Source organism: Homo sapiens, chromosome 4 (genome assembly GCF_000001405.40).
Source record: "Homo sapiens chromosome 4, GRCh38.p14 Primary Assembly".
NCBI lineage: Eukaryota > Metazoa > Chordata > Mammalia > Primates > Hominidae > Homo > Homo sapiens.
In genome coordinates this window covers 182,700,151-182,722,939 of record NC_000004.12, presented here as the reverse complement: position 1 = coordinate 182,722,939, position 22,789 = coordinate 182,700,151, and the positions used below count along the sequence as shown (strand labels likewise).

At 39.3% G+C, this 22,789-nt stretch overlaps 1 protein-coding gene across 31 annotated transcripts in view; it reads right to left on the bottom strand.

The window, feature by feature from the left end:
* Positions 1–22,789, bottom strand: part of TENM3 (teneurin transmembrane protein 3) — a 1,355,412-nt gene that overhangs the window by 80,085 nt on the left and 1,252,538 nt on the right. For 20 of the 31 annotated variants that reach the window (XM_047415944.1, NM_001415969.1, XM_047415937.1 and 17 more), the window contains one exon: positions 8,707–8,853. In XM_047415944.1, the coding sequence (XP_047271900.1) occupies positions 8,707–8,853 (147 nt within the window). Of the gene's footprint in view, positions 1–8,706; positions 8,854–11,338; positions 11,366–22,789 lie in introns of all 31 variants that reach the window. The other 11 variants (XM_017008385.2, XM_017008389.2, XM_017008390.2 and 8 more) reach the window with 1 other exon arrangement.

The following is a 22,789-nucleotide window of genomic DNA, read 5'->3' as shown; positions in this document are numbered from 1 at the left end:
TATCCTGGACTCCTCGTCTCTTCCTTTTTCTGGCACCTAATCAATCACCAGTTGCTTCTTTTCTTCATCTCAAATCTCTCTTGAATTAGTCTATTTCTTTCTCTTTCCCTGAAACTATCCATCAGGCCACCATGGTCCTCTCTTGACAAATTCTTAACAACAGTGTGTTTTCCCAGGTTCCAGTCTTGCCCCAACTATCCATTCTCTACATGTTAGCCAGAGTACCCTTAGAGAAACCAAATCTGATTATTTCACTTCTCTGGCTAAAATGCTTCCTTTACTTGGTCTCCATTGCCTTCTGAGTAAAGTCACAACTCCTTAACATGGCTTATAAGACCTTTCACCACAATCGTTTCCTTTGCCCGGAGATCTCTAAGCTTCTCTCTTACTTCTCCACATAGCCCTCAATTCCTTCAGCAATCATCTCAGACAACTGTCTCATTAAGCTCCTTGAGGGCTCATCTAGTTCACTATCCATCCCTACTATCGTATCCCCAGAGCCTTGCACACTTGCTGGCGCCAAGTAGGCATTTAATACATTTGCTAAATGAAGGAAAAAATGAATTAAGTTCCTAAAGATTGTGAGTTCTAAACAGTTGAAAAGGCTTAGAAGCACATGAGAGATGCCCTGCTTTTTTTCTATCATGCTTTCCCTACCCTCAGACACTATGCTAATCCTTGAATTCCTATTTCTTTTTTACTCCAATAGGTACTTAAAAATGTTCTTGATTAATTGAATATTAAGCAATCCATGGAATTATAAAAAGTATTAGAAGAAATTATATGAAATCCTGTAACACTATGTCTCATCTCAGAAAGGCTCTACTTAGAAGACACGTAACCCAGAAGTCACGACTAAAAAGATAAACCTCAGACAAATTTATGTCATATCAACTGAAAGCTTCTGCATGCACCATAAATTACAAAGTTAAAAGATAAGTGAACACCTGGGATAAAATATTTGCAACACACCTAACAAAGAATAAGTAGAATATATAATGAAGTCCTAAGAGTTAAAAAGAAAGTATCAAGCAGCTCAATAGAAAAAAACAAGGGAAATAAATAAGCAATTAGCAAAAAAAGAAATAAATATAAAGATCATCAATCTAACTAGTAATTAGGAAAATGCAAATTAAAATGATAAAAATGGGGTCATTTTCATCAGACAAAATTGATATTTTTCATTTTGTTGAACATTTTTGTTTACTTACAATAATTACAGATAGACTATGAACACCTTCAGATTGATGAAGTGTTGCAAAGCAATTGAGCAGTAGCTATCAAAATTAAAAATTAAAATACCTTTTGAACCAGCAAGTTCACCTCTAAAAATCCATCCTAAAGAAATATTTGTACATTTACACAAAGATTCATATGCAGATACACACTCACACACACACACACAGATTCGCTACAGATTTGTCTCTATACTAAGGGCAAAAAAATTAGAAACAATTAAATTATCGTCAGTGTAGCAGTGGTGAAATTAATTAGTACACCAGGTTTCTGTTGTAAAGAATGAGATGGGCCTATGTGTACGGGCATGAAAAAAATCTCTAAGATATCGTCCTTGGAAGAATCAAATTTAGAATAGTATTTATTTAAGTTTAATAACATAAATGTGCATATGAATTCACGAGATGCCCACGAAGTTACTGATGGTGGCTAACTCTTCTGACAATGAGAGTGTAGTATCTCTGTACCACGACTTCTAATAAAACCCCTTACCTTAATGCAGGGGTTCTTAACATGGAAAGACATGTAGCCCGGAGGCCTGTTTCTAAAGAGATGCCACGCAGTGCCCACGTCCACATTCTTAAGCTTCAGGTGGCAGCTGCTGGGCACGGGTGTAAAAGAGAGGGGAGACTTTTAGGCCGGGCGTGGTGGCTCACGCCTGTAATCCCAGCTCTTTGGCAGGCTGAGGTGGGTGGATCACCTGAGGTCAGGAGTTCGAGGCTAGCTTGGCCAATGTGGTGAAATCTCGTCTCTACTAAAAATACAAAAATTAGACGGGCCTGGTGGCAAGCGCCTGTAATTCCAGCTACTCGGGAGGCTGAGGCAGGAGAATCGCTTGAACCCAGGAGGCAGAGGTTGCAGTGAGCTAAGACTATGCTATTGCACTCCAGCCTGGGCAACAAGAGCAAGACTCTGTCTCAAAAAAAAAAAAAAAAAAGAGGGGAGACTTTTAGTACCAACCCGTGTGGCTCTGATTTTCCTCTTCTTCTAAAACCCATTAAGATGCAGTGGTTAAATCTTACGTTCCTTGAGTCCTAGCAGGAAGCTACTGAAGTCCTCTGCTTTATAGGGCACAAGCTGGATGTTCTTCCCCCAGAATGGGATTCACTATCCTCTAAAATTCTGTGGATAGCCAAAGGGTTCAGAGTAACCTGAATCTCCTTCTTACTTTAGGTAGGATCCAGTAGAGTCTTTCAAATTAATAGTAATTTCCCCCCAAACCATCATCTACCTGAATAATACAGGGTAATGCTCTGAGACTGTAAGCACCACTCTATGTCTGATAATATCTGGATTCATTTTGGGAAATACTTGTGATCTCTTGTAATTTTTTTTTTTAAACTCCCTCTCCCCCGCTTCCTTTCCAGTGCTGTTTCCTGCCATTTCATTATTTTTATTTTTAAATCTGTTTTTAGAGAACATAATAGTCCCACCTTCTTGCTAGATTTTTAAAAATTCTATTTTCAAACATTTCCTTATTTTCACTGAGTAATCTACAAATATAGATCTCTCCATTCATTATACTCATTCTCATGTTTATATTAATATTTCATCCATTTGTTTTCAATCCTTCACTCCCCTTTTCTAGTGATAGCACATTCCTACTTTTTATTGCAGTTTGTTTGTGTGTGTGTGTGTGTGAGAGACAGGGTCTCACTCTTTCATCCAGCCTGGAGTGCAGTGGCGCGATCATGGCTCACTGCAGCCTTGACCTCCCCAGGCTCAGGTGATCCTCCCACCTCAGCCTCCTGAGTAGCTCGGACTACAGGCGTGTGCCACCACGCCTGCCTGATTTTTATATTTTTTGTAGAGATGGGGCCTTGCTACGCTGGCCAGGCTGATATCAAACTCCTGGGCTCAAGTAATCCAACTGCCTCAGCCTCCCTAAATGATAGGATTACAGGTATGAGCCACTGCACCCAGCTTTCTTGCAGTTCGAATTGTATTTCTGCTTCTTTTGCTTATTTATCTAATTATTTATTTCTTATTTCTATCTTTCTTATTTCTGAATAACCTCAGTTGACTTGTGCTTTCTTCTCAACTGTAATCAGCCCCTAGAGGCTTGAAAAAATGGCCTGTTTTAGGTACATCTTCCTGATATACCCCCCAAAAAGTAATAATTCTAAAGGATAAAAGATAGCTCTAGGCCAGGCGCAGTGGTTCATGCCTGTAATCCCAGCACTTTGGGAGGCCGAGGGGGGCGGATCACAAGGTCAGGAGTTCGAGACCATCCTGGCCAACATGGTGAACCCCGTCTCTACTAAAAATACAAAAATTAGCAGGGCGTGGTGGTGGGCGCCTATAGTCCCAGCTACTCGGGAGGCTGAGGCAGGAGAATCCCTTGAACCCGGCAGGCGGAGGTTGCAGTGAGCCGAGACCACGCCATTGCACTGCAGCCTGGGAGACAGAGCGAGACTCCGTCTCAAAAAAAAAAAAAAAAAAAAAAAAAAAGAAAAAAAAAAGAACTCTATTTTACTGGTAATATGTATTATTCTTGGCAGGAGTTATGCTTTGGTATTCCACCATTCTTGCACAAAGTTTAGTATGTATCTTTTAAAGTCATTCTTGTGCCCTCAACCAGCCAGTCTCCAGGACAGGGCTTGAGTCTCATGTCTCAGGTGCCCACGGGGGAGCTGGCCACTGGAGGACCAGACAGGGACGCAAGGTGTCAAAGGGAACTGACTAGATCTCCCTCTGGAGAAGATGGGAGCTTGGTAACGACTGCCAGGGACAATGCATTGTGGAGAAATCATCTTGTTAAAAAGTATCTTAAGTTTCCATAGAGACAGAATTATCTCTGGCGAGCTATTGCCTTTTGGTGCTTGCATAGTGAGACCATCATTTGGAGAGCTATTTAAAGTCAAGCAACCCCTTGCCGAATGAGTCTTCGCAGCAGGCTAAATAAAAGCAATGATGCTTTTAAAAGTATATGGGGAGAATTAGATAGCTGCCTTGCTAATCTTGGGCACTAAAAAGCACATCAGAGGTTCAGCACTGGTATTCTTGTCAAGTCAAAAGGCTATACTTTGGCAAGGAAGGAGGAGACAGAGAGAAGAAGATTCCTTCTGAAAGTGACAGTCCATGAGCATATGAACTAGTTACTGCAGTACATGATCTGACTGTACTAAAGCTGAATGCTGTGGAGAACTATTCTTATTCCCATAGTAGACCGTTTTTCTGCCTGCCCAGCATCCAAGCCCCTTTCTTCTGGTGACAGCACTTCAGTTTTCCTTTGGGCAGGTGACCTAATTCAGACCAACGAGAGTGAGGCTCAGGCTCAGGCCCAGGCCACACACAACCATGAAGAAAGGTGTGTGTTCTTTGTGGTGGAGTTATTAGGAAGTGAAATGTAAACTCAGAGCTGGTGGTGGCCTTTTTGGGGAGGAGATGGCCTGAGAATGATTCTAAGGTAGAAGAAAGCAGAGTTAACAGATGAATATACCTAAGTTTCTGGTGTCATCATTTGAACACCTGGGTGCAACTCTATCTGAATTTTTCAGTTATATAAGCTAATAATTTTTTTTTTTACGTGTAATAATGTTTGAGTTGAACGTCTCACATGTGAGACCAGGGTCTTTCCTGGTCAGAATGGTCAAGTAGAACCTTCAAAAAGGAGAAGGTTTTCCTGTTGAGGGGGAGTGGAAGTCTGTGGTAGGGTTCACTGTGAGACAGGGCAGACTTCAATGCAAATGGCTGGTGAAAAGAGGTACTTGAGGAACCGAAGACTGTGGTTAACAGTCACTGTCTTAACCCCCACTCCAGATCGCACTTCCTTCAGGAGTGAGCAGCTCCCATCTCTTCACCTTCCTATTCTCTGGACTCAGCAACTTCATGATCACAGTGTTTTGGGATATGAGCAACAAATGCTCAATTTACAGGACTGTTGTCTTCATAAGTAAAGTTGGAGTTGAAGAAGAAAGATTTATAAGCCATGTGAAGTACTGGTGATCATTTGCTCTAAAAGCTTTCTCAATTAGGACAGGACAGCAACTAGTTGCTCCCAAAGTGTCTACGTGCCCCATTGGGGATATTATCCACAATTATCTGGTCCAGTGAGCATTGTTTCTGATTTCCACTGTGTGATTTAAGAATCTAGTAATCCATTGCTTGCCTTTGTCAAAAGGATCTGCTCCCAAAGCCTCTATTTGGTACCTGGAGCTGGATTTGAGAAGCAGATGAGGGGGATACCTTACTGATTTCATAGAGAGTGGAGACCTTTGTCAGGGCCCTTATTACGGGTAACAGATTGCCCTTAGCTCTGAAAAGCTACAGTTACCCAGCGTACATGACAGCTGTTTGTCTGAAAGGAAACAAGGACCTATTGGAAAGCAGCACAGGTGTTAAAAGGGTGGCTGAAGATAAGTCGCCCCCATCTACGTTCTTCCTATTCCTCATAAGGAATTCCCTTCTAAAGCAGCTTTTTAGAGATAAAGGGGGACAGACATACATGAAGGCAAGGAGGAACACCTATTTAGTGAGATTCAGATGTTTAAACTCTTTACCATTGAACAGTGGTGATGGGGCAAACTTGACGGGGTGAAGTAAAATAAATTTTGCAGGGGAAGGAAGATGCTTGGCCTAAGAAGATATTTCAAGATCTCCCTATATGATGGATGTCTCTTTTAAAATTTTTTGATACTTCTTTAGTTCCGGGAATGGTACGCAACTTCCTTTGCTCTTCTTTTACAAACACTGTGTTCTACAAAATTGCTCAAACTATAGTAGCTATTTATTGGGAGTGTTCAATTGCTGACTAGGGCCACATTGGGCTCTTCACCCTCTCCTCCTCCTGAGTTCCTTAATATGCTAAATCAAGTTACTTAGCTACTCTCTGGATAAGTCACCATTTTGATAACTAAACTTAGACAATGGATCTATAACACTACAATCAGTCACCATATATCCTAGAATTTCAGTCTAATAAAATCCAGTCTAGTCCTAAATAAGGAGTGGATTTATAGTTCCTAAACATTCTGTTCGACTGTCTTCATATAATTGACATCCTTCATTGCCATCTTTCGTGTTTTGATTTGGGGTTTGGTGTGGAAAATACCATCTTTATACATGTAGCTTATGCTTAAGTTCAAAGAACCCGCTGGCTTAGGTTATAAAGCATCCAGGTTACAATCTCAGGGCATAAGAAGGCTGGCACTGAGATTCCTTCTTAAAAGATCAGCAAAATTAGGTTAGAGGCAGGAATACAAATTATGTGAGATAAGCAGAGAATCCACAGGAGGTCTTCTGTCAGCTCAGATTTCCCCTCCGAGAGGGGAGCCTAGAGATAGCATAGTTTCATGCTAATCAGAATAAACAAAGGGGAATGAGGCCAATTCACAGTTGATAAATTTTGAGGAAAAGGAAAAACCTCTTTAGCTGATAATACCACTAAAGAGTTGATTAGCCCCTAAATTACTCGGCAGTGTCTCTGCAGACTTGGTCCTGCAGCCCGCTTCCCTCTGAGAGACTCTGTAAACTCCTCAGTGCAATCTTCTCTTAGAAGCAAAATCTGAACTATATGATCAAGGAGAAAGAGAAGCTCTCCTTCCTCCCTAGGCAATAGCAACATTGGAGTAGGGGGTTCTTTGGGGGAAAGTAACGAAGAGAGGAGCCATCTGTACTGTGGTTTTGAGAGGATTAATGCTGCCATGTCTATAAAGCACACAGTTAAGAGGAGTCAGAGGCAACAAGGTATTATTAAGCAGGAAAAGCTGTGAAGGCTACGGGCCACCTAAATCTATCCGGAGCAGGAAGGAAAGGCTTTAGCTCAGAATTTGTGGCTCAAGTTTCTTGACTGTCCAAGTTAAGAGAAAACAGTGAACAGTCTGCTAGAAACTAAAGGAGAGAATTGCAGCACCTTGTCGGAAGGATAAGACACAAGTAACATTTGCTTTGAGAATGACTGTCGGCCCAGGCTTGCTTGTATGTGTGTCTCTGTGTGTGTGTGTGAGTGTGTGTGTTTTGGGTTGGAAGGGAGGTTGAGGGGTTGGTTCTGGTCGCTCTGTTTCCTACAGAATAGTAGTTGAGGCCCTCTATAGGTATAGAAAGGCAAAGGCTATTCAATCTTCTCTGACAACCTTCTATGAAGTTCACTTAGTCAAGATGAGCACTTTTGAAAGCAAAGAAGGGAAACTGGATAATAATAGCTGCTACTTAGAGCAGGCTCTGTGCCTGGCAATATGCTACACACTTCACATGCATCTTCTCACTTAATCCTTTCAAAAACTCTTTTATTCCTATTTTATAGATGCGGCAATTGAGGTTAAAGTGATTACAGATTTTGTCTGAGGTCACATGATTACTACATGGTTCAGTGAAGATGTGTCTGCTCCAAAACCTACACTCTAGCCAGTGCTTTATCATCCATGTGCACAGTCTCAAAAAGAGCAGAGAGAATGGTTGGGGCTGGTGGAGTGGCAGGGAAACACAACCTAACACACGTGGCAAGTGTCCACAGAGGCCCGGATAGGAACTACAGCCCTCCTAAAAATGCAGCGCTAAAGCTATGTCAAAACTGAACAGCTGGCTGGGTGCGGTGGCTCACGCCTGTAATCCCAGCACTTTGGAGGCCGAGGTGGGCGGATCACCTGAGGTCGGGAGTTTGGGACCAGCCTGACCAACATGGAGAAACCCTGTCTCTCCTAAAAATACAAAATTAGCCAGGTGTGGTGGCACATGCCTGTAATCCCAGCTACTCGGGAGGCTGAGGCAGGAGAATCACTTGAACCCGGGAGGTGGAGGCTGCGGTGAGCTGAGATCGTGCCATTGCACTCCAGCCTGGGCAACAAGAGCGAAACTCTATCTCAAAAAACAAAAAACAAAACAAAACAGCTATCAGGGCCAACTATTCCATCACTGGAGAGGAAATCACCAACTCTCACTCTATTCCCTGAAATTAAAATACAGTACATGGAGGCTGAGGTCAACGGTGAAAATAATTATTCTTAACCAAGGGCTTCAACTGGGTGGAATCTCACCATCTTTTTAACCGAGTATCAAGTTAAGGATAAAACGTCACTAGAGTACAGCATCCAGGGGACTGTTCTCTGTTACTGTTTTGTTTTTTTCCATCCATGCCTTTCAACAGAAGAGGCTGGAAAATTCTTTGCATCTTTTGGAATGTCAGTTATTAAAATACTGCTTTGGAGCTCCCAATTCACAGAGCCCTAAATACTGTGGTTGAGGAGAAGAGTCACCTGGGGACCAGGAAAAGGAATGGAGAACAATGGACATTATGCAGTAGCTTGGTTACCTTGCCTTTTCCCTGAATGATAATAATCTTGCATTTGTTTCAGGAAAAATGGAGAGCAAAATCATTCTATCAGCACTCATACATTTTTCAATCAATCTAATCGATGGGGATCAGGTTTTTTTTTTTTTTTTTTTTTTTTGGCAACAGATATCTATGTACTCACTGTCACTTACGAACCTGTGCTCTGGCACAGACTCGTGTTCATGCTCAGTATTTCTTACCTCCTTCATTGTCCTTGCTATCTGTGCAAAGAGTCTCCATGGCTACGTCACAGCCTGCTCCTCTCCATCCAGGCTGGCACACACAATGCCAGCCATTTTGGTCCAGGGTACATCTTCCATTGCTGTTGCACAGACCAGGACAACCCTCTGTCGAGACAAAGAAGGAAAACACCAGTGATTTGAGTATTGAGTTTTTGCACCTAAAATAAACAGATAAGGGACACTTAGTGGGAACAGGCCTTTATAAACAGCACAAATACTGTAATTGCACATGGATAGAAACAGCAACGTTATCTATGGAATCTAATTCTTATCCAAGTGGCATCTTTGATTGGCCTGACCCTTGAGACACCACTTACCTGTGCAGGACAGAAATATATGCAACGATCCACTAAATAGCTGCAGGCCAGACAAAATTAACTTAAATTTTTTCCCTTTAGCCAAGCAACAAGGTATATTGTACGGTGTGGAAAAGCCATCTCAACAAAATAATTTCAGAATCCCTAGTCTAGATTTGTAATCTGTTTTAAACATTACTGGTCATTTATCAAGACATGCCTTCTTAAAGCACCTTGTTGCTTAAAAAAATTCCCTCAAACTCCAAAAGCATGAAAGTGGGTATGAGGATATGAATGATGTCAAAAAGAGAACATTAATTTTATCTGGCCTCGGAGTTGCCGTACATTCATGTGAAATTACAGTGCATTAAATAATTGCACAAAGTATAGGCCAGGATTAATGACTATACTTTATGCCAAGAGTACATTCCTTGTCACAGAATAAGCAAAGCCCAGGAAATAGTGAAGCAGCTTAGCATCTATTCTAACAAACATTAGGATTCAGGCTGCATACGGATGGGACAGGACCGACAGGATTTCCAACTAAATGTAATAGCTGTGCATATTGGATTACTTAGGACGGACAAAATGAAATACCATAAGGACCACAATAAAACATTGATAGACTGAACAAAAACACGGTAGTGACGTGCTTCAAGACAGATAGCGAAGAGTGATATTTTGTGACAATCTCCCTAAGGCTTTTATGCTGTTACCTTTATATCCTATCTTGTCTGCTTTTATGGGCAAGGAGGGAAAATTTGGGAAACAATTAAAATAATTTAATATATCCAAAATCTATAATTGTTTCAGTCTAACATGACATTTAAAAAAAACAATTTTTGCCACTTCCTACTGATGATATCTGGCATGCAGCCAATGTGATCTGTTTATGAGGATGACACTTGGGTAGATTCTGGTGTCCTTGTTTATGAGTGTGATATGACACTGACAGAAGCAAGGAGAGAAATGCTCTAAAATTCTAAGAATAACTGGCTATTCATCAGATTTCTGTGGACAGAGCTATTTATAATTTGGTATAAAACATATTAATAAAAATACTTGCTATAGCAATTGGGGTTTGTTTTACAGCTTCTTATCATTTGAATGCTACTATTGCTCCGGTGACAAAATTTCAGGGAACAATCTGTTTTTAAAGATGTTTAAGTCTGTGTTAGAAGAATTATTCATATATTGGTGTCCCCTCCTCCACTGTGGAACTTGAAAAGAAAATATCGCCAAGAGACATTCTGTCTCTTAAGATTAGAGTTAACAGAAAGAAGACTATTTCGACTGTCTCTCATGGAAGAGTACAATGAAATTACACTTATGGATACCATCAGGTCAGGAAGAGATTAATTTTGCTGCTTCTTTTCGCTCAGACAATTACCGTCTGTATTTATGGATTATTCAATAAATAAAAGGTGAATCTTCCTTATGGATGTGTTTTTTTTTTTTTTTTTTTAATGAAAACGAAAGGTTGAATTGCCCCACTGACAAGGAGGTGCGGCAGCTGACTGACTGCACGTAGGAGTTGGTATATGAAAGCCTGGATATTGCCATGAATATTTTCATATTCTAATGAAAAGCACAAACAAGGAATAGAAAGTAGGTAATCTGAGGAGAAAGGGAAGGGGAATTTTCTCTTCTGAAAAAACTTTTTCCATCTATTTCTACGATAACTGAAGATGTGAGAATCTGCTGTTTTCTGCTGAACAAGGTTATCAGTTCTTTTTTTAATAGACTGTACAGTATTTATAGGTTTTAAAAAATAACAAAACACAAATTGTGATACCACATATATTTTGAAACATTTAGGAAAAAAACCAAAGAAGCTTCCATATGAAATAAACGAAATTTCTCTCAACATGTTAACCAGGATCTTCTTTAGATTGACAATTTCTTATTCTGTGATAAGAGTATTTGTGATTCTTTAGCTTAGAATTTAAAGCTCATTAAGCTGAATTGCCAACAGTGAAGATCTTAAAAAAAAGAAAAGAAAGAAAAAAACCTCCAAAACCAAAAAACAGCAAATGTACCATTATCTTCAGTTTCTGGTTCTAGAGAAAACTAACGCTTTTACAAAGAATGAAATCTGTGATAACCCAAAATTATAAAAATGAGACACAGACACTTAAGTCTCAATACTTTAAATCCAAGGCATTTTACATAATTTAACTCTGATTTATAATTTACAAAAATATGCATGGAAAAGTCTATTGTCAAACCTAGTGATATACAGTTATATAGAGATATATATGTAGATATGTCAACAAAGAGCGAGTATACAGTACCTTTAACTATCTTATCCAAATAGTGAGCTTGGGAAATTAAAAAGGAAAAAAGAACAGACAGACATTTCAGAAGTGTCACATGGGACAAGAAAATTTTCAGAATCTACATGCAAATTGAGTAGCTTCAGCTGACATAAGACTCACATCACATGACAGAGATGCACTTCGTATCTCCTAAAAATCCAGTCTATTCACATTTTTAGCAAATGTAGTCATGATTCCAGCAAATACTCAGCATTTTCAACTCACTGAACTAACACTACTTTTCACAGATTATTTGGAATGCACTCCACTCTCGTCATTTCAACATTCTCCTTTATAATAGCTGAGCAGAACAAATGGAATCAATTCTTTATTCTTAAAGAACTTTGGAAATTTACAACTATGAGATCTACAAATAATGAAACTTTAAAAGTTAATAAATAAGCAAAAAGAAGAAAAAGAAATGGAGACTGTTGAGCAAATGTAATATTTTGATGTTATATTTGGAAAAGGCACATGTAAGTTCTTTAGAAAACGATTACCCAGTATCTCTTGACTGCAAGCCAGATAGACAATGATTTATCGCATATATAGCCCATTAGGAAACAGGGACTATTCTAAGATCCTGTTTATTTTCAGAAACCTACTGGAAAAGGCTCTTTTTCTCACAAAAGGTGTGTAGGAACAGTCAGGACTAAGACTGAATCTTTTTCTGTACCTGTACCTGCCCCTGTCCACTTGTTTCATGAGGCTACAATTAGGCTATGCCTTTCCCCTGGAAATGAGACATAAATGCCTCCTTCAATGTGGAGACCTAATAAATCTTAATCAGCCTCAAATCTCCCGCCTTGTCAAAATTCATACATCTTTAATGATCTAAAATTGCTTTTCAAAGATGCTTTTGTTGATTATTTTTCACTGCTGACATATGCAAGTGGTAGGAGGACTCCTAACAGAATGACTGAAACTGTAACCCTCAGTTGGGCCACTCAGGTGTGGTGGTTCTGTCATGTGTGTAAACAAAACAGTACATGGTTTTGATACATCTGTACTGTGTATGTAAAAGGATTCTTCACTTTGCCACAGGATTCTATTAGAGGCGTTTGAATGGCATTTTAAAATAAGCATGTTTACAGCTAATTGATAAGATGATGCAAGGAAAATTACAGTGAAGAACATATGGTGTTAGGTGCTACTCTGAAATTATAATAATAAAAATAATTTACCTTTTAAACATTAAAATAAAAATGTATTACTGCATAACATTCATATAATTTCTTTATAATTCCTTCTCCATGCTATATACTTTACATGCCATATAAACTAGTAGAACCCTGTAACAGCTTAATTGATGATTTGAACATAAAGAAAGTGCCATCGAAACTTCTGGAGTTTCTGATTCTCATAGGGTAGTATTTCTACAGAAATTCTTAGTTTACAAAAATTAATAACGCTGATCACTGTTAGAGAGTAAACCTTTTGCTTTTACGTTAGGCCTGCACAACCAAAATAAATAACACAACTTAATTCTGATCTGGATTAGCAGTTTTAAGGGTGGACAAAATTATTTCTAATCAGCCAATCAGATTATTTTTGCCAACAGAATCAATTATGCAAAGCTGTAGATTGATTTACAGGTAAAGGTAGGTCTTTGGGTCACCAGAACATCAGAAGTAGAAAGCAAAGTAGAAAATACATTTAAAATATATAGCCGGTCAAAATTAACATAATACTTAAAATATTTGCAACTCTTAACACAAGTTTTGCAAAAGGCTAAAAACCAACCGTAAGAAAAATATCTGTACTGAGAAAGATACCACGATTCTTCATTTGCATTTTATATCATAGAGAACTGTGAGCCTGAGAGCTTAAAACTAAGAGCAAAAGAAGGAAGAACAACAAGAAATATTTTGGTATGGAAGAAAAAACTTTCTGAAATACCACAAAAACCTGGTTCTAAATAATGAAGAAGTTAAAAGGAGATGTCAATATATGAGGTTCAAATAATTATTAAAAGTAATAATTGCAACAATATAAACATCATTATATAAACCACAATAGGAAATAAAAAAATGCAGACATTTTGTAAGAAGCCATTAGAAATAATAATCATAAAAACAATTCAGCATATTTAAAAATTAATGTACCTAACAATTGCTGAAATGCATATTAGGTTGCAAAAAATTACTTTGAAAACTAACGAGTATGTTCTGACACTAGAGAAAAGTCATTCCTTCAATCTACTAAGAAGTTGAAATTTGTTTTATACGATAAAACTCTTACAAAAATGGGTGCTAGACATATAAAATGGGAACCATTAAAAAAACTATTTTCCAGAGCTGGATGCGGTGGCTTATGCTTGTAATCTTTGCACTTTGGGAGGCTGAGGCAGGAGGATCACTTGAGGTCAGGAGTTCGAGACCATCCTGGCCAACATGGTGAAACCCCGACTCTACCAAAAATACAAAAATTAGCGGGGTGTGGTGGTGCGTGCCTGTAGTCCCAGCTACTTGGGAGGCTGAGGCAGGAGAATTGCTTGAACCTGTTAGGCAGAGGTTGCAGTGAGGTGAGATTGCACTACTGCACTCCAGCCTGGGAAACAAAGTGAGACTCTGTCTCAAAATAAAAAACCACAAAAAACAAAAAAAAACCCACTGCTTTCTAGTAAAATGTTGCAGTCATAAAATACTTTCCCTGGAGTTTCAATTATTTACCTTGGAAGAACACCCACGTGGGACACACGGCATGAGTAGGACCATATTTCCTGTGAGATGGCAAGTCTTACTCTTTTCTGGGTCTCACATCTTTTTTTTTTTTTTTTTGAGACGGAGTCTCGCTCTGTCGCCCAGGCTGGAGTACAGTGGCGCGATCTCCGCTCACTGCAAGCTCCGCCTCCCGGGTTCACGCCATTCTCCTGCCTCAGCCTCCTGAGTAGCTGGGACTACAGGCGCCCGCCACCACACCTGGCTAATTTTTGTATTTTTAGTAGAGGTGGGGTTTCACCGTGTTAGCCAGGATGGTCTCGATCTCCTGACCTCATGATCCACCCTCCTCGGCCTCCCAAAGTGCTGGGATTACAGGCGTGAGCCACCACGCCCCGCCAGGTCTCAGATCTTTGAGTAAACTGGTGAAAGTTTTGGGTTCTCTTCCCAGAAAAATTCACATATGTTCACAAACACAAAATGCCGCCTTGATTTTAGCTCTTCCATGAGCCCTGGCTCTGTAATGTACAGATTATGAACACCTGGCTGATGTATTAATGATTCCTAAATTTCTAGCTCTGGCCCAGGCCTCTATCTCGTAGCTCTGACCAGGTTCAGAATGATCCAGGGACACACACGAAGCACTTTGCCGCCAGCCCTGCTCGCTGTAGGTAATAATAAAGGCTTCCTTTGTGCCAAATACTGTTCTAAGTGCATATATTATTCTCTCATTTCATCTTCACCACAACCCTATGATGTAATAACAGTTGAGACAGTAAATACAGATGAGGAAACAGAGGAGAGGAGTGATTAACTTGGGCAAGGTAACACCTTGGCAACCTAGGCTGCCTGGCTCCAGAGCTTGCTCTAAACCACTCTATCACAATGTCGTCTCTTGGAGATTTAGAAAAAAAAAGAAAAAAAAAAAGGTGTTTTTTCCCCCCAGTAGAAAAAACTGATGAAAGGAGCTCAGAACCAGACACTTCGTTCTCCAAAGCCACCAGGCAGTTCCACCTTCTTTTACATGGCTTCTACATGGATTCCGTAGGAAAGCACAAGGCAGATCTACAGATTACTCTAAATGCCAAGGCTAATTCTTGGCCTTAACTGTTTTTCAAAATACATTCAGATACACAGCCATCCCTGGAACATAACAAATGAGGCAAGTATTCGGGTTTCAAGCCTATGACCTGCGGGTCCTTGGTCTACTTGCTGGTACAGGTAGGCAAAGACTCATGGAAGTTTTGAATGTGAAAGACAAATGTGGCTCATCGAAAATGTTTATATTATATATTTAGTCCATAAATTTTCAATATCAACAAAGCAAATGACTACTCCTGTATTCTTTTCACACATCTCCCCTCTAGGTGCTTCTTTTTAAGAATTCCTTTTTTTTGTAAAGCCCCTAATTGCCATATTTCCTCCTTTGTATTTTGGGAAAGATAGGTGGAGGAGGACACAAGATAATTTGCTCTTTTCTGCACCCCTTAGTGATGGACCTGGACTCTCAGGTCTCTGAGGATGGGCCTCACTCATATATAGTATTGTATGCTTCATTCCTCCCATACAGATCAGGAAGGAATAGCATCTTTTTGGAATTCTATCTTCATGCTGTTGCCTCATCTGCTTATCTATCAACATTCTGGGCGCCCCTCCATCTCTTCTGTTATCTTATTCTTCCTTTTTCTTCCCTCTACCCCAGCACCTCTCTTGGATAAGGTCTAGGAGTATGCACATCAAAGTGCATGTAACAGGAAAAGAGAACAATCAAGAATTGGCCGTGATGAATTCACTTCTACTAACAGATGCCATGAAAATACTAGACTTTAATGACCTTTCTAGGCATAGGTGACTTAATGTGTAAATCGTCCCCATTAGAGAGGTAAACTCTAGGCCACGTAAATCACTGCATTCCCACTGCCTGGCTCATAGCAGAGTCTTTTTGTTTTTTTTTTTTTGGATACAGGGTCTCACTCTGTCACCCAGGCTGGAGTGCGCTGGTGCAATCACAGCTTGGCTCACTGCAGCCTCAACTTCCCGGGCTTGGGTGATCCTCCCACCTCGGCCTCCCAAGTAGCTGGGACTACAGGCGCACCCCAACCATACCTGGCTAATTTTTGTAGAGACGGAGTTTCACCCTGTTGCTCAGGCTTGTCTTGAACTCCTGACCTAAGGTGATCCAACTGCCTCAGCCTCCCAACTGCTAGGATTACGGGCATGAGTCACTGTGCCTGGCTAAAGCAGAGTGTTAATATCTGCTTTATATTAAAGCAGATAAAATGACCATATAAAATGACCAAATGTACTTTTGGTGGCCTTAGTATGTCCTCTATGTGTCTGCAGCTTTTGAAGAAATTCTATAAGTAATACAGAGGCCATCTTTTGAGAAAGAAGCAAAAGTGAGCAAAACCTTATTTACAACATCCTTCCCCTGTCCTTCACCCATCTGTTCCTCTCCCCTCCCATGTATTCTAACTATGGACAGTGGTATTCGCAATAACTACCATTTATTATGTGCTGAAAACTCCTAAGCATTTAATGTGAATTAACCGGTTTAATTTTCACCACCCTGTGGGGTAACAGGTACATTATTATCTTCCCTTATTTCACAAATGAGGCAACTGAGGCACAAGAAATTAGAGAAGTTTCCTAAGATCAAAATGCTAGCAGTGGCAAAGACAAAGTTCCAACCAGGCAGTCTGACACCAAAATCCATATTCTAAATAAACGTTATAGTTACAACTCAGAAGAACCAGAACTGTGTACCTGTGTAAGGCGAACTAGAAGCATCATCTGTTTATAGATTTCCCAAGGAATTTACTGGAATAAAAAAAATCAGACTAAACAACGTGGAAATCCTTAGTTCCAACACTGACAGTTAAAGGAAATAAGCTTAAAACCCGAATGAATTTAAAATGTTTATCTGATGACACCGCTTCATAAATGACAGTACCTTATATAAACTAAAGAAAGCTTTAATGCTGTCATCTGTTCTAAAAAATCCGAAGTTTGGAAAACCAGTGGGCAAGATAGTAGAACTAGGGATAAAACCAGGAAAAATAAAAACAAGTAAGTTGAAAAAACCAGAAACCAAAAAGCCTCAAAGACCAGAAGCAGTTGAATGGATGTACAAATGTTGGACGAGAAATATCTGCTGAGTAGTAGTTCCCAAGAAGGCAGCTCATTTAAAAATGAGGTCTAAGGAGTATATGTTCCTGTCCGGCTGAGACATGGAACAAGGTTAATTCCAAGTTTGCTTCCTTTTGCCATCAGGCTGACTCTCATAAACACAGAGAAGCAACAAAGGCAAACCAAGCGGGTTATATAGACGTCAGGTAGCTCACAAGGGAAGGTCAAGTCGGTTTCACTGTATATAAGCAGTTGCTGATGTGTATGGCTATGAACAACTCACATTGTTTCCGCTGTCAACAATGCGCTTGGTGGAGGCATATTAAATAGTACCGTATAATATTTTCACCGGGCTACTGGCTTGAATCCTCGGTATAGTGTAGACATCAGATACGTACATCATAAAATACAGACATATTCTTCACTATGATAATTACTGTGAAGTCCTTGGAGTAGAGGGCAGATTTTTAGTTAGCATTGAGCATTTCATAATACTTCCGAACACGGACTTAAAAAATGACTCACATTAGTACCTCATTAAAGTTGTAAGTAGGTATCATTCTCAGATTAGTCAAGTACCAATTCCTGCAGGATGACAGAAAAGCTACAGTCTACAAATACGTACATATTAAATCCACTTATTCCAATCAGCAACTGTTTAAATCAGCGTGCAAGGTGCACACCCATTGATTTGATGTTCCTTAACTGCTGCTCACTGCAATGTTTTATTACTGATTACCATACCATAAAGGATTATGACAGTGACATAATTTTAAACACCATAAAACAATTACATATTCTTAAGAGTTTACTCAAGACTCCTTAAAATATGTTCTCTTTCACCACAGAATTATCAGATTATGGACAAACATCAAAAAAATTCTTTCCTATTTAGGAAAGTCAATTAATTTGCATTTTACCAACTAGTAAGTGAGGTGGTGTCAGCAAAAAAAAAAAAAAAAAAAAGTTTGTGTGTATGCATGTGTGCACACGTGCTTTAAAGGGATCTGCTCCCCTACAATTGGCAATACTTTTTCAAAAATTTGCTTCAAATAAACTGCTTTTGAAAGTTTACATATTTTATTCTTTTTACAGTTTGGAAACTTGGTGTAAAAATTATCTGAATAACTACATTGCCTCTTACATGCACCTACCCAAGCAAAATACCATACTTCAACTTGGAACGGTATTTATACCAAGGCATTCCAAACGAGAGAAATAATATTTTTCCTGATTTAAGTCAGCCCAGAAAAATCCAGATTCTATGGAAGAGCTGCTTTGAGATAAATCACATTTTATAAAGTCAGCACTGCTGAAAGAGTGCCTTTATAAGCTGCAGAGCTTTGTAGAGATGACTGGTAGAACAGAATTTGGTATTTTCCTTCAATTTAGGATTTCATGCCTGACCATGGACTACATACACATAATGGAAGTAACAGTGGAACACTCAAGGTGCAGAAGGCAGGCTCACTGATGTTGGGATGTGCATAGCCTATGCAAAGAGATGCCTTGTGTGGTGTGTGATGTATGAGTTTTGTGGTAGCCTTTGCATGTGGGATGATTTCATCCACTGAACCATAAACATACACGTGTTAGTAACACATCTCCCTTATTTTTTATTCCTTGTGTGAGTTTATTGAATGACACAAGCAAAAAACACATTTTAGGATTTCCTAGATTAAAAAAAAAAGGTATATTTTAGTACTCCAATTTGGTAATGAAACTAGTCAGAGACAGCTCTTAACATTAATTAAAAAAAACTATAATACAATGTTTTATACTAGGTGAATATTTGGCTATTTAAGATTTAGGAAAAATGAAGTTGGTTATAACAGTGATTACAGTGGTGTCTGGATAGTGCTAATAAATCCAATCACAGGAAGCCAGAACAATCATCCAGAGATCTGGGCAATATCAATGGGTAGAATTTTTTGTCTGTAATTGCCACTTTTGTCTATTCACAACATTTAATATTTAAGAAAAATGTATAGACTAACACTTTTACGTATGAAAAATATAATGGGTCTTTCTCATGTCAGTTTTCTTGACCATAACTGGAAAATAATAAACAAAACTGAACAATCCTTTTAACTTACCTAGGATACATTATGATTTATTTTATGAAAATAGTAAACAAATGGCTGTTCTCAAAGGTGATTGATATAGAAAGTAATTTTGCTGTATTTGTAGGTGAGAGTATGCAAAGATGTTTACCACTTGTATACACTTTTCTCAGCCTTTTCTCATGAGCTGATGCTGGTGACACAAATAATCTACCCACTTTCTATGAGAGTTTTCCATTGGCTAATGTCTACATAGATTCCAGCCCACTAACTTCCAGTGACAGGAAAACAGGACATTAATTTAAATTTTGAAAGGAAGTGGGTAGAGTGTTCAATAGCTCCCAATGTTCTTAAATCCTCCACAGTATAAACTGATTTTCCTCAAACCATTTTTTGTTGTTGTAATTGTTATTTTTTATTTTGGCAAATTACAAGTTCTGTTATCAGCTATCATTTAACATTTCCTGGATAAAAAAGTGTGGTACTTTACTAAGACATCACCGGCATTATTGTTTTTGCATCTGTTTCTATGACAATTCAATCTTTTGTGACAGGGACATATACATTAATTTATTTTCAACACATAAAAATTAATTTTCATCTATTCCACTATACACATACACACAAGAACAATTGAAAAATAATTCAGGAGGCAGGACAGTCTATCTAGGGCTTAAGAACATGGGCTTGGGCCAGGCGCGGTGGCTCACGCCTGTAATCCCAGCACTTTGGGAGGCTGAGGCGGGCAGATCACGAGGTCAGGAGATCGAGACCATCCTGGCTAACATGGTGAAACCCCGTCTCTACTAAAAATACAAAAAATTAGCCGGGCATGGTGGTGGGCGCCTGTAGTCCCAGCTATGTGGGAGGCTGAGGCAGGAGAATGGCTGCACCCGGGAGGTGGAGCTTGCAGTGAGCCGAGATCGCACCACTGCACTCCAGCCTGGGCGACAGAGCCAGACGCCGTCTCAAAAAAAGAAAAAAAAAAAAAAGAGCGTGGGCTTGGAAATCGCTCACATGGTTCTGATTTTGTTGCTTACTAGCTGTGCGTCCACAGAAAACTTACATAACCTTTTGGAGCCTCAGTTTCTTCAGTGGAGATTTTACTAGCTTCTACCTGAGAATTAAACATGATAATTAATGTAGAACAGTTTGCATTGGGCCTTAGCAAGTAGTAAATGCTCAATACATATTAAATATTATTGATTCATCTTATTAATAGGGAGAGTTTAAAAAGGACAAACTCATGAGGGAGCTGGTATTTTTTAAGTGACTATGAAGAAAAGAAAAAGTCTGACTTTGAGGAAAGAAATGTGGGATTGGCAATGATTTGGTTTCATAAGCCCCAGGGTCCATTCTGCTCCATACCAGCAGGAGAAGCCCCTTGTACTCTGCCTCCCCAAGCTGCCCTCCTTTTGCTGAGAACATTCTTTATATGAACTGGCCTGTTCCCAGGGTAGGGACAACTCCATTTTGGAATCAGGAAGTTTTCTTCCTTGTCTCTCACAAACCCTCTGCTGGTTAGATGCACAATTCCTGGTCAACATGGGGTTCAGCTTTTTGGAATAAAGAACACATCACAACTTGCCCTTATATATTTTCTGCTCCTTCACTAGTAATTTTATTTGAGCAAGATAAATTAATCTTTTCTAAAAAAGTGTAGATACTCACACAAATATTCATATAGTCCACTCAAATTCAGAAATACAAGTCATGTATTTACAGTAACTATTTGGAAACTAAGACATTCAAATATTATATTTTACATGCATATCCCTATCCTTACATTGTGAGTTTGCTAAAGATTTTTCATTATGAAATATACTGAGCAGACAGGATATATATTGCTAACTTTTCATAGCAGAATGGTGTAAGTTTATATGTCACCATTCTTAAATACAGGAGGAAGGCCACCCTTGGCTGAGACAATCCTTTCTAGTAGCTGTGGGTGGCACACAAACATGTAGTCATAATTGCATATCTAGACTTTTGCTATGCGGTTTGTTCTTACACTGGTCACAATTCAGAGGACAACGCTTGTAGGGGCAGGGAAGAGTTAGAGTAAGTGAAATAACCACATAGTTTCCTCTTTGCTTTTCATGGCAGCTACATGGTGATTTTTTTCCTTATCTATACCAATGTATTGCAGTGGATTACTCACATACATAATCACTACTGGGGACTCATCTTAAAAGTCAAGAGTTGGGGCCAGGTGCAGTGGCTCACGCCTGTAATCCCAGCATATTGGGAGGCCGAGGTGGGCGGATCACGAGGTCAGGAGCTTGAGACCATCCTGGCTAACACGAGGAAACCTCGTCTCTACTAAAAATACAAAAAATTAGCCAGGTGTGGTTGTGGGCGCCTGTAGTCCCAGCTACTCGGGAGGCTGAGGCAGGAGAATTGCTTGAACCCAGGAGGCGGAGCTTGCAGTGAGCCGAGATCGTGCCACTGCTCTCCAGCCTGGGCAACAGAGCAAGACTCTGTCTCAAAAAAAAAAAAAAAAAAAAAAAAAAAAGTCAAGAGTTGGACTGTATGTGAAAAGCATTATTTTACCCCTTATTGTTCAGGTGGGGACTCATTAATGAATACCTTATGTCATTAATTCACAATTAGATTGCTTATGTTTAACCACATGCTTTCTGTGGACACATATATAAATATTAATTTTGGACAGAATGGTAATCATTCAACACCATAACAATTAAGCAGCTGTAACCTGTCTCGTGCACTAAGTGGTGGAGCTGCAGGCGAGCTCTACAAGCAGATGGTCTTACCCACCCATGCTTAAAGTTAAAGACTTTTTTAAAAAGAGGTGTTGACAAATCAGAACAACTAGGCATAGTTTTGATGCAAATTGACCAATTTGCAATGTAGATTACCCTAAAAACTAATTTAGTATATAAGAAAAATTAAGCTCTGTTGTTAAAGGAAGACATTATATCACATTTAGATGTAGTAGATTCCCCACCAACATAATTATTTACTAATTTCATTCAACCAACAGAGTTTAATGGAAAAGCAGCTGGCAAAGTATTCAAATTTATGGACCTCCTTTGACTGCTCCTTAATTTATCCAAGGTACATGCCTGTTAAATCCCAGAAATGATAGTCATATTTCAGACAGCTGGGTTCCAGCTTCATTAAAGAGGCACTCAAAAAAGAGAGGGTCACTGAACTTATCATGAAGAGCAACAGACAAAAATTGGCTCCAGTCACACCATAATCTGCGAATATGTTAAATACGAAGGCTGCTGGAAGGCTGTGCTTCCGTATGGACAGACACCACAACCAAACTTGCACTTTAAAATAGGGAGGTGGGAGAGGGACTGTTTTAAAATGAAAAGAGGCTATTTTCAACTTGTCATATTCAAGAAATGGCAAAGATAAATTCTGCCATTGAAAAGATAACAACATACCATGTGGGAAGGGATAATCATACTTCTTAAAATTGTGGGCTTAATTTCTCTACCCTTACATTAAACTGAATGAAAAGTCCCAACATTTTATTTACCCCATTAGGTAATAAGGATCTCAGCATATAAGGAATATTACTTCAAAGCCTCATAAACACCTCA